Source organism: Homo sapiens, chromosome 9 (genome assembly GCF_000001405.40).
Source record: "Homo sapiens chromosome 9, GRCh38.p14 Primary Assembly".
NCBI lineage: Eukaryota > Metazoa > Chordata > Mammalia > Primates > Hominidae > Homo > Homo sapiens.
Genome location: NC_000009.12, coordinates 135,341,146 through 135,353,374, shown reverse-complemented (window position 1 = coordinate 135,353,374; position 12,229 = coordinate 135,341,146). Strand labels below are relative to the sequence as shown.

Sequence of the window (12,229 nt, the reverse complement as noted above, 5' to 3'; positions counted from 1 at the left end):
AGGAAGGACAGGTCTGGGGAAGTGCATTCCCACCCAGAACTCTCACCTCACTGGAGTTGTCCTTACCCTGAGAGCACCAGGGGCCTGGCCTCCAAAGAATGCCCGGATGGTTAGGGAGGGGCCGTCGACACAGGGGCCGGGCAGGCCGTGAGCAGTCTGCAGCTCTCCCACCACAACTGGAGCTGGCTGAAGGACCCCTTGGGCTGCAGGAGGAACAGCAAGAAGGGTCAGGAAGTTGAGGGCCCCTTTTGGGGTCTGGAATGGCATTGCTCTGGTCTGCAGAATGTGCAAGTCACCTCCAGCCTGGTTCAAAGCCCCTGGGATGAGTGCCTCAAAGGAACACAGCAAAATTCAATAGAAAAGGCTGCCCTAAACCTCCTCCCCAGGATAAGACCCCATAAGAATAGAGGCTGAGCTCCCCGACACTCCAGGAATTTCTCCATTCTCTTGAAGTGGACTGAGAAAAGGGTCACATATGTAACCAAACGCCAGCCTCCTCTGGAGAAGACCACTGCCTTCAGGAGTGGGGTGGCTCCCAGCGGTGGCCCTGGCCTTGTCCCAGGAGAAGGGCCCCATCTGACGTTTGTCTGGAGAAGAAAAGGTACAAACCGACCCCTACCTTCCAGCCCAAGCTTGGGTGCAATTAATATTTCATACCCGAAGAAGACGCCGACATTTTGCTGGATGGCTTCAGTTAGCTCTGGAGCCTCGTTCTCATGCTAATAATCAGCTTGCTTATCATAATGGTTTATTAATCTATTTCACAGTGTGAAGTCATACAGTGTGTTTCACAGATACCTCCTGCTGCTTCCTGGATTGGGTAGAAATGACTCAGGCCCTGTGATTGCTTGTTAAAGGGGTTCAGTTCTTGGAGGACAGGGGTGTGGGGTCAAATGGGGGTAGAAGGCTCACAGCTCTGACCATTTCTTTGTTTCCTGGAGGCTGCGAGGGCCCTTTTGGACAGAGCACAGTGGCATGTGGCCCATGGGTAGAGTTGCAGATTTTTCTTTTCTGGCTTTGTTGACGTCCTCCCTTGACTGAATTCCCCAAAGGTAGGCTGAGAAACTATTGGGAAATTCTTTAGAGGAATTTCTCAAGAGAAACTTGGCATGGGGCTAGGGATCAGGGGAGATGGGAGATAGTAGAATCATTTGGGTGGGCAATTTTTTATTTCTATTTTTTGTATAAAGGTGTTTACGCATATTCTGTATCACATGACTTACCATCCTGGCCAGAGGTGAGCATCTGAGCCCCAGGCAGCCACCCGCAGACTCTGCGATGGCTATCAGTTGGCCTTGTGCTACAGCACTGCCTGGCAGGGCTAACCTGCCCACCGTAGACAATGTATGGGGGCACGTATACAGAACCAAGAATGTGGTGGGGGCAGAAGCTGCAGATATTCAGGGGGGTGGCTGCAGCAGGGGCCACATCAGTCGGGGAGGGAGCATCTGTGGTAGCCGGCTGCTGGGTCTCACCTGCATCTGGGACAGCAGCTCCTTGAGAGGCCACTCCTGGCAGCTGTCCTGGGCCCCAGGGCCCCTTCCCTATCTTTGTAAGACACTCCTATTGCCCAAGGATGTGAGTGTCTCCAATGCTTGCAAACGGAATCATTAAATAAGACTACCATCTTGCCAGGACCTCTCTAACTTCATGTTCCCATTTCAAAAAGCCCCATTTCCCCAGACCTGCTGGCTTCCCTGGCTCCTCCTGAGGAGGCCTCTTGCTTACCCTACACAGTGGGGCTGGTGGGCTCACCCATGGGCTTTTATCCCACTGCCTCCCTGCGTGGCCTCCCTCTGGAATGGGAACAGGGCTCCATCCCTCCAACCCCTCCGAGGATACTCACGTGGCAAGGGGTGTGGAAGGCTGGGGAGGGTGAGACATGGCTCACAGTCGGTGGGGGTGGGCACCTGCTCTTGCTGAAGGCTGGTCCAGGAGCTGAGAGTCCAGCTGTTCCTGGGGTCTCATTGTGGGCAGCCTGTGTGGGGCCAGGACTAAGTGAGAAAGGGTTTCTCTTTGCCAGCTGCTGCGAGAGTTCCTCTCGAGGAAAGAGCTGCCTGCACTTGGAAAAACATCGAAAGTTGCTGCTTTAGGAAGGAGAAGGCCACCCGGCTGTGCCTGGGGAGTGCCGGGGGCTTGCGGGTCAGGAAGCAGAGGAGAGCAGGTGTGGCAGAGCTGAGCTTCTGTGAGGGCAGCTGGAGTCCCAGCTCTGAAATATGGCGAAAGAGATGCTTTTAACCTGAAATAATTTCAAAATAGAAATAAAAGTTGTAAAAGAGGACAGACATGTCCCGTGTACCCTGCACTCAGCTTTTCCTGACGTGAATATCCTGCATAACTATAATACAAGTGCCAAGACATTAACGCTGGGTGATACTGTTAGCTGAGCTACAGACCCCATGTGGATTTTGCCAGTTTTTTTTCTTTTTTTTAAACAAATGTTCTTTTCCTGTTTTAGGATCTGACCCACTGTCCTCCACCTCCAGATGCCATGCTGCATTTTGTCATCAGGCATCCCCAGCCTCTAACCTATGACATCTCTCCATTCTTGCCTTGTCTCTTCCTTTGGGTCAGCACGGGCCAGTGGCTCTGTGAACTCTCCCTCCATTTGGGCTCCTGAGACCGTATTTAATGATAAGATGGAGGCTCTGCACTTTTGGCAGGAATTTTGAAGAAGGGAAGGGCCCTTCTGTGTGCATTCCATCGTGGAAGCGTGACATGGATAAGTCTTTGAGGAGGCTGACCCCGACAATGGAGGACACTGGTGCCTGCTGGGTTTCTCCACTGGGAAGTCACCATTTTTCTCTTTGAAATTAATAAATACCTCAAGGGAGACACTCGAAGCCAACGCAGGCCTGTCGTCCCCTCAAGTTTGTTTATTGATTTGTGTGTCCGTCGGTGGGTCTCGGTGGCAACGCTTATGACTGTGGTCTTCTCACCGAGACACTCTCTCAAGTTTGTTTATTGATTCGTGTGTCCGTCGGTGGGTCTCGGTGGCCATGCTTATGTCTGTGGTCCTCTCACCGCGACACCCTGTTTCCCTCATTCCTTCCACATTTACCAATGAGATTTCTTCTCAAAGAAGAGCTGTCTCTTCTCCCCCATTTAATGTCAGCAGCAGCACTTTGCCTAAGGTGAGAGTGTGCTCCTCCGGGCCTCCTGGGAACCGAGCCAGCAGAGGGTTCAGCAGGGAGAGGCAGAGACCCCGGGGGTGTCTTTTCCGCTTGCCAAGGGCTGGTTGCCCTCCCCGCTGCCCCAGCGCCGACCCTTGCCCGCATGGCACAGGATGATGGGTTGAGGGCCGCAGTCTGTCTCCCCACGCAGCCCGCAGAGACAGCCCATGCTGCCTTGTTGGTGTCGCAGGCATTTAAATTGCCATTTTATTTAAATTTATGTCCAAAGATACGGCGGAGAAAGGGCCATTTCAAAGTCAGTTTCTGCTTTATGTCTTTTTGGGGGATCGTGTCGGGCAGCTGCTGGAAATACTGTGCAGGTCCCAGCACAACAGAGGGTCACGTGGGTTCTGGCTGGTGCAGGGAGGAGGCTCTACTTCCAGGATGGGGAGCTCTTGCTTTGTACCCCAAGTCCAGACTGAGCCCCTGCCCACTCCAGGCTGAGCCCTGGTCCCAGGCCCAGACCGAGCTCAGATCCAGTCACACAGTAAGTGCTGAGCCTGGCTCTTGGCTGAGCCCTGATCAGCCCCGAGCCTGGCCCATATTCATTCTTTTATGAACTCGTACTATTGCTTATGGCGTGGTAGGTTTAACGGGAACTCTTACAGTTTCACAGACATCTCCGGGCAAATCTGTTCAGCAAAGGCACAGTTCCAGTGCCCCACGGTTCCACGCAGCTGATGCCTACAGCTGGAGGAACATCTGCCCACACCCTGAGCTGATGAGCTGGGAAGGGCGGGCTGCCCCTCACACCCCTTCCTTGTGCAGAGAACAGCAGCAGCCGCAGCCCGGAGAGCCACAGCCCGGCATCTGGGAGCCCTGGAAAGGCCAACGTGGGTGTCAGCGGCCCGGTGACCCCAGCTTCCTCATGAGACCGCAGCTGAGTCTGACTTCCTTGAGGTTTCTTTTCTTTAAAATGGGGCTGGGACTCTCTACCCTCCCAGGGGGTTTTTCAGGTTGAGTGGGAGCCCACCCGGAAAAGCACTTTGCAAACCACAGTACAGGGGATCCTGGAGTCCCAGCACCCCCGAGGTGGGGCACCTGTGCCGAAGCACCAGATCCTGATATTCTCGGGCCTGGGCCTTGGGCTCCTCCAGAGACCCCCGGGATTTGCATATGAGAAGTGGGTCCAGTAAGGGTTAGGCCTGAGCCAGGGCAGGGAGTGTGCTGGCAGATGAGGCCTGAGCCTGGGCTGGAGCACAGGGAGGCTTCCTGAGCTCGATTTTCCTCCGTCTCACCCTCACACCGATCTCTGCACATGCCTTTAGCTGCAGCTGCCTTCGTCTCTGTCTAGAACCGGGGTGCAGTGTGGGGTGGGAGTCAGTGTGTGCCACCCGCTGTGGCCCAGCACCCTCTTTGCAGGTCCCTGGCATCTCCACCCGCCCCACCTGCCCATTTCTGACCTTGTTCCACCCCACCTGCTCATTTCTGACTTTGTTGGCAAATCCTTGGGCTGTAGTGAATCAGAGACTCGATCGGAATCTGTGGCGTTGGCATGGGTGGGTGGCCCTGGGAAGGTGGAACAACTTGCTAGATTGAGTCCTGCCAGGGAGGGGGGGGCGGGAGGTGGGAGGAGCTGCAGATGGAGAGCAGCAGAAATGCCACCTGGCGTCCAGGCCCTCCCGAGAGGAGCGAGGGGCTTCTCCGTGTATCTAAAGGGAACGTGGCCCAGACACCAGCACCCTGCACCTTGTTGACTGGGAGCCGGGTTTCAGTTTCCCCACCTGTGCTTTTCATCTCAGGGGCTGGTGGTGAGAAAACTGAGCGTGCCCCAGCTTTGTGCCACCACCAGCAGCTCCTGGAGTGTGTTTCCTGGGTCAGGCCTCCCGGGAGAGTCTCTAGGATGGAGCTGTCCCACCGTGAGACGCTCGCTGGTGGCCTGGGCTGGGGGCTGGTGAGGACCAGCCGGGGCCAGGGCGCTAGGATCCCATGACAACCGGGGCGGGGCTCACACACTGGAACCCAGGTCCTGTCCTTGCCGGACGCTCGCTCAGCTTGGGGGGGGCACAGAGATTTGAGAAGCTCACCTCATTCTACCCGATCTTAACCTCACCAAGCCCAGGGCCTCCATGAAAGGAGGATCTCCAAAGACCATTGTCTTTCCTTTAGTCATTCAACAAACATGTATTGCGTGTCTATCTGGTGCAGGACCCAAACTACTTGCCTACATGGAGCAGACATTCTAGTGCGGAGGGAAGGGTGGCGGGAAGTAAATACACTAAAGGGGAAGATAAGGGGACGCGGTGACAGGCAAGAGTGTAAGACACGGTGATGTGTACGAGTCCCGTCTGCTGGCTGGGGGCTGCTACTTCCAAGTGCAGGGGCTCAGGTGTCTTTGTCAAGGGGTGACGTTTGGGTTGACACTCGAACAGCAAGAAGACGTCAGGAGAAAGCATTCCCAGCAGAGCAGAAGCCAGGCCGAAGGCTAGCCCCCTTCCCTGCCTCTCTTTCTCGTAAGGAATCAAGGAGGCCTTCAGGAGCCGGGAGGCATTGCCTGGCAGTGAGCAAGCGCCTGATGCCTTCCTGAGTCACAACTCTTCAGAGCTGGCTTGAGGAACTCGGCCTGGAAGCAGCCGTGTACTCATGGACCCCTGTCGTGCTCTGCTGTCCTGTCCTGCGCTCTGAATACTCTCCGGATACTCTCCCAGCCATTTCTCACTGAACAGTGAGATAGGAGAACCGTGCACCTTGGTGGGCGGGTCTGGCCCACAGAGGGGTGTGTTCCTTCACTGAGTGACAGGGTCTGCAGAGTGCCAGGGTGTGCTTGCCGGGTGCTGGGGCAGGGACACAACAGTGCGCTCACCGGGCAGCCCACCAGGAGACGGGCATTACCACCCTACTCCCCAAACTGCGAGTCCCGGAGCATCTGACTGATTCCAGGGTCAGGAGCCCCACCCGGGGGAAGTGACTGTGGCTGAGATCTTGGGGATGGGCTGACCCCCTGGGGGAGGAGTTCTGGGCACAGGGAACACGGAAGCCGTGTCTGACTGTGGGAGTGGGTACAGTAAACATGGAATAAAGGACCCAAGGGGCTGAGGCCAGGACCTGGGGGCAAGACCGGTGGGGTTGGCAGAGGACAGCACATCCTGAGAAGAGTGCCAGCCTCCGACGACTTCCAGCAGGACAGTGGCACCATGAAGCATGTATGGTGACACATTCTCTCTGTGTGGAGGGTGCATTGGAGCAGGTGGGATGGGAGGGGGCAGCTGGGCCTAGGGGTGCCGGGGGGCTGGATGGCAGCTGGAGGAGGGTGAAGTCTGGACTCGCTGGGTCTTTGGGAGGAGGAGGCAGAGCCCCGGCCCAGAGCCTGCAGGGCGGCCTGAGAGCATTCTCCTCGGGCAGGTGGGAGCTGAAGCCGGGTGTGACAGGTTGGCCTGAGGGTGAGGCCAGAGGAGGAGGTGCCAGGGAGGCCCCAGGGCCACCAGGGGCATCATCCAAGCCCAGACCTGAGTGTGCTTCTTGAAGGGAGTGGCCAGTGGTGACCCCAGGGCTGCAGAGGCGTGGGACGAGACTGGTCCCTGGCCCAGGAGGAGCTGCTGGGGGTGGAGGCGCTCCGGGCCTGGGCGCCAGATTGGAGTGGGCCGTGGAGCTGGTGGGAGGGGAGAAACGGGGACAGCGGGTACCGCCAATTCTCCTGAGTTTTTTCATCTTTCTCTTTTATTTAACACAATCAGTGAAAGGCGTGTTCTAGAATACCAGCCTTAGTCCTCAGACATGTTAATATGAGGCCAACTTGTAATGGGGGAGCAAACATGGCCCCTGGCCTGAATGCAGGCAGCAAAGTCCATTTCCAGGCAGCGTCGACCTCAGGGAAGCTTCCAAGCCCAGTTGCTGGCTGTGTGGTTGGCGCCGAAAGCTGGGGTGCGCTGTGTTCTCAGGGGTGTCGGCACTGCTGCAGGCACACCTGGGACCTGCTCTTGAAGCCACCCCACAAGGAGCAAGGCAGCCCACGGATGCCCAAAGTGCAGCTCGGAACAGAGCCAGCAGGCTCGACTCCATGCATGCTGTTTGATCTGCAAAAAGTGGAGAAGGAGCAGGCGCGGAGCGGGTAGAGAGGGAGGGAGATTTTTTTCTCTTTTATGGCAGAAACCTGAAAGTGTTGGCTGGCAGGGGAGGGGGAGCGAAGGTGCGAGTTCCTGGAGAAGACAGCGCACCAGCTTCGTGCACAGACCATGACAGGCCCTCCTGCTGGTGGGCGCCCACACTGTCGCCCACAGCCCTCCTGCAGGCGCCTTGGAGCGGGTCCCTGGCAGTGGGCAGGGCTGGCCCGCCCCTGCAGAGTGAAGGATAGCCCGGGTTTGGGAACCATGTGTGAGGGTTGGAGATGTCTCTGGGGCCTGTGATCTGCTCCGGGTTGGGTTGGGCTGGGCTGTAGTTGAGGGGCTTTGGGGGACACTGGTCCTCACAGGCTCAAACTAATGTCCACCATGCAGGGTGGTGGCCCTCCCTCTGGAGCTGCTCAGACATTCACATGTGTGTGCACATAGCCAGGCACATACAGGCATACGCACACATGTGCAGAAATGCACATACGTATGCATATCCATGCATGCATATATATAGACACAGACCCGGGCACACAGGCACACACATGCACAAATGCATCACATGCAGAGAGACTCAGGGGCATGCGCACACACACATACCCAGAGCTGCACATGCAGGCACACACACACATATGCCCACAAGTACACTTGTTTGTGTGAAGCACAGACATCCACACGCAGGCATATGTATGCATGCACACACACCTACATGTGCAGACCCTCTAGCCTGAGAAGCCCAGGTCTTCCAGGCAGATGGTTGTGTGAGTTTCTCTCTCCCAGGACCAGGCAGACGCAGCATAGAAGCCCTGATCCGTCTGTTCCTAACCCAGCAAGTGACACACAATAGCCTCTCTGTGTGGCCCTGAGTGGAGATGAGATTCAAAAAGAAAAAAGCAGCTTTCAACTTCCTCTACGTGAAAGGTCATCGCCCCCTCCCCACGTGGGGGTGTCAGGCGATGAGGGAGCCTGGGAGCCCAAGCAGGCTCTCGACAGACAGCTGTCTCTCGCATGTGATGGTGCCGCCGTCTTTCTCACCAGCAGCACGACGCTGCAGGCTCTAGGGGCTGTGGGTAGAGACAGACGGCCTGTGCCCTTTACATCCTTCCAGCCAAGCCCGCTGCTGTACTCCAGATGCGGGCCTTGTTTGCCCTCCCCGCGTATCTCTGAGGTCCCCACGAATTGCTGTGTGGCATGAATGTGAGATCCCTGCCATGGTATCCAAAAGGCAAGCCTCTACTTACAGGAGGGATGAAGGCCCTGAGGGGTGGTGGGTGTCCCATCCCCCTGAGAGTTGGGGGTGCAGAGGGCCCCTCTGCACCTGACCTGCCACCTGGTGGTCACTGTGGTGAGAAAGGGGTCCTGGGACTTCAGGCCTGGGGTTTTGGGGTGAAGATGTCTTGTCTAGAGGCACCAGCTGCCCACAGCCCTGCAGCCACCCTGGCCGAGAGCAGATGATCCAGCGAGTCCTCAGGGGAACATTATCCTCTTTGCAAAATAACTGTGGAATTAGAGCTTGATGTGGGCTTAGCGGGTGCCCTGCAGTGTCTCAGTTCATTCCTACCCAGCAAAGTGGCTGACGTGAGAGCGGGGTCTGCACCGACAGCAGGACCTCCCTGTTCACCTGCTCCCGAGACCACCAGGGAGCCATGCTGTGGCTGTGGCTGAGGCTGAGGGTGGGGCAAGAACCCAAATGCACACAAACCTGCATCATCCGTCCAGCACTGGATCCCAGGGTCTCTCTAGACATTTTAAAAGATCTTTAAAAACAGGGAAGAAAGAAACCAACCCCATTGGGGCGGTGGCGGCTCCCTTAAACTTTCAGCGACTGCCATGAGAACAGAGATTTCGGTGGCTCCAAAGAACACAGGCTTATATTCCTTTGCTTTTCTTGAGGTTCTTATGCCGGAAAGATGCAGGTGTTGCCTGCCCTCTTGCCCTGTGAGGCTGTTCCTCAGCCGCCAGCCCAGGACTGGGCGTCCGGCCGTTCTGTCCACGCTGCAGCCCTGCTGTCCGCTAGATGGCGCTGCGTCATGCCCGTGGCGGGCCTGTCTGGAACCCAGGAAGGCCTGGCGGAGTTCCAGGAGGGTCTCTGGAGACCCAGGCGTCAGCACAGTGGCGGGGACGAGTCCCCTCCCTGGAGGGTGTGAGATCCCCTCATTGCCGGGCTCTGGGCACCCAGAGCACAGATTTTGTTCGCTCACTGCTGGAGAAGCATAGCCTGCCTGGGAAATGCCCCCTCCCCTCTGTGGAGCCGGGAGGTATGCATGCAGGCATGTGTGTGTGTACACGTGTGTGCACACGCCTGTGCCTGTGTGTGCCTTGTGCATTCTGTGCAAGGATGTGTGTGCATGCGCATGCATGCATGCACACACCTGCACACACTCCTGTGGCCGTGTGCTCTTGTGCATATGTGGGGGTTCTGTGTGTGTGTCTGGGGACAGGGAGGTATAGGAGGCAGCTCCCTTTAGCCCATTGGAGGCTAGCCCTGTGTATGTGCTGGACTCCAAGATGACAAAGACCTGCCCAGGTCTCAGCCTCAGCCTGTAACTGCTCTGAGCCTCCATTTACTCATCTGTAAAATTGAGATGCCCCAGTTACCTCCCAGGTGTGATGAGGCCCCATGGAGACCATGGGGCGAGAGGGCCCTCCCCACAGGCATGACGCAAAGTGACATCGATACACACCTGTGTTGTGGTCACGCACCTCCAGCAGCGGCCACAGGAAGGACACTGAGGTCTGCCCTGGGCTGAGGCCCATGGCATCCTGTTCATCATGGGGGTGCCACGGAATCCCCCATCCCACAGGGGAGGAGACGCAAGCTGAGAGGCGAAGCCACAAGCCTGACTCTGAGCCCAGGCTGTCGTCCCGGGCCGCGGTGCCCACACTGCCACTCAGCCCTGGCTGGAGATGCAGTGCTGAGGTGGGCAGGTGGCTCCACCAGCCCCATGAGGCTCAGTGGGACCTGGTGGAGGGTGGCACTGGCCTTGGAGAAGACTTGAGCCCAGCCTCTCTGTGCTGGCAGCTGGGAATGCTGAGAGGCAGGAGGAAGCTGGGGGGCACTTCCTGAGCCCCCACTGCATGGGGACAAAACCCAGGGATCCCTCCCCAGGCAGAGACCCCACCGGGCTCGATCACCAGACTTCTGGCTGTCAGCTGGCACAGAGGCCCAGCAGGGACAACCCCGGAGGAGGGGAATGTGTCATTGGGAGCCTGGGCAGCCATCAACTAGTCCTGGCCTAAACGTGGAGCACCTGGTGCCCGGCCCTTTGGCAGGGCCTTCCTTGGGGACAGAGGTGACTGCTGGTGCCTGGACCCAGGAAGCTCCCCCATCTCCCCAGGCCACCAGAGGCCCCGAGTCACTCCCGGGTGAAAACACAAATCCAGGCTGGGGCAGCTGACAGGTGGTTCCCAGGGAGGAACTGAGGGGTTGAGGGGCAGGAGAGGTGGGAGCTGGACACAGTGACTTCTGGGGCATCAGGCCTCGGCCATCTCCGAAGGAGGGCTCCCGGGAGGTGCACGTGGACAAGATTTCTGGACGAGATCAGGCTGCTTACCCGTCTGCCAAGGCCCTGCAGCTTGGGTGTCTTTGCGAACCTGTCAGTAATTGGGGTTGTGTCCAACAGCCTGTGCCAGGCTCCTTGGCGGGGCAGTCCTTGCAGCAGTCCTTGAAGGTCACCTCGAGAGCCAAGGCTGGGCAAAGCGATGGATCCATCAGGTGCAGGGGGAATGGTGTCTGGGGCCCACAAAGGTCACGATGTGGCCCCGCAGGTGCCAATGAGGGAGCCAGGGTCCAGCCACCTGTGCTTGCCAGCTGGGTGCCCTGGTACCAGGGGACGAGCTCCTTCTTGGTTTGCACAAAGGCTGGTGGGCCCCGTCCAGGAGCTGCTGCCCAACAGTGTGCTCTCGGATCCCTAGGACACGGGGGCCCCAGCTGCATGCTGTGCTCAGCCCCATCGGACACTGGGAGCCCCCTTCTATGGAACCAGAGCTCCCGAGGGGATGCTAGAAAAGTGTGGAGCTCTTTTCCTGGGCGCTGAGCCCCCTGTCCATGGTAGGAAAGAGGACAGTATTAGTGATGGGGATGCAGGGACACCTGTGGCTTCAGAGCATCAGCTTGGAGTGTCTGATTTAGTCATGAGACAGCCTCACCTGGGGAGAACTTTCTTCCCATTTTACAGAGGGGTAAATAGAGGCTGCTGTGGCGCCCTGCCCAGGAGCCCTGGCTGCTTCGAGGCTGAGGAAAGCAGGGAGGTGAGCAGCTCGGGGCCTGCCCTGCAGGTGCACCCGGACCCTGGGTGGGCCCTGCCACCCCGCACGCCTTCCCCAGAGCCCTCTGAGCCTTGGCCGGTGGGCGGACGGAGAAGGTTCTGAGGGGAGGAGTCTGGAAAGAGGGAGGGGCTTTGTGAGGGACCACAGGGGAAGTGGGGCTGAGCCTCTGCTGTCCTCAGCCTCTGCTGTCCTCAGCTGGGTCTCCCACCAGGTCCCTTCCACCCGCTGTGGCCTTGGCGTCCTTCTTGCTTGGGCCCCATGGGTCAGCTGTGGGTGCCTGGACACCCATAAGTGGCCATCCTGCCTGGGTCCCTGGACCTCTTGCCACCTCTCCCATCCCCACACACCTGCCACCATGCCAGCAGCCACTTTCTAGAGCCTTCCGTAGCAAATGAGTTCCTTCATCTCAAATTAGGTGCAGGGGGAATGGTGAGGCTTTCTATAAAAGCCTCTCTGCTGATGACGGCTTCCTGCACAAACAGACCTCCACTAGGGACTGGAGCGACAACCTCTCCCCGCTGAGCGCAGCCGGCGCGTCTCCCGTGGAGCCCACGTCTCCTGGGAACAGCCTCCTCCTCTGACAGACAGGGCCACAGAGCCAACTTGTTACAGTTTGCAGAGAGCCCGCTGCCCTCTGCCGCAGCTCAGTTGGGTGGGTGCCTGGGCCCCGGGCCACCCCTCTGGTGCTGGTCCTTGGCTCCTCTTTTTGCAAAATAGAAAGGAATTTCCAGAATCTCAGCA

At 57.9% G+C, this 12,229-nt stretch overlaps 2 long non-coding RNA genes across 2 annotated transcripts, besides 1 other annotated feature; one reads left to right on the top strand and one right to left on the bottom strand.

Annotated features, from left to right (window-relative positions):
* Nucleotides 1-856: 856 nt before the first annotated feature.
* On the top strand, nucleotides 857-2,852 carry LOC124902304 (uncharacterized). The gene is made up of 2 exons (XR_007061848.1): nucleotides 857-1,052; nucleotides 2,459-2,852. It is a non-coding gene; the product is annotated as an uncharacterized LOC124902304 (long non-coding RNA).
* Nucleotides 2,853-6,812: 3,960 nt separating this feature from the next.
* On the bottom strand, nucleotides 6,813-10,126 carry LINC02907 (long intergenic non-protein coding RNA 2907). Its single transcript, NR_171012.1, has 3 exons — nucleotides 9,904-10,126; nucleotides 8,922-9,353; nucleotides 6,813-8,081 (listed from the first exon to the last, which is right to left on the bottom strand). It is a non-coding gene; the product is annotated as a long intergenic non-protein coding RNA 2907 (long non-coding RNA).
* Nucleotides 10,373-11,085: an enhancer, noted in NCBI's record as "H3K27ac-H3K4me1 hESC enhancer chr9:138234136-138234848 (GRCh37/hg19 assembly coordinates)". NCBI's record gives its function as "activates a minimal SCP1, AML or CMV promoter by ChIP-STARR-seq in primed H9 embryonic stem cells {active_cell/tissue: H9 hESC(primed)}" and the evidence as "EXISTENCE:reporter gene assay evidence [ECO:0000049][PMID:30033119]".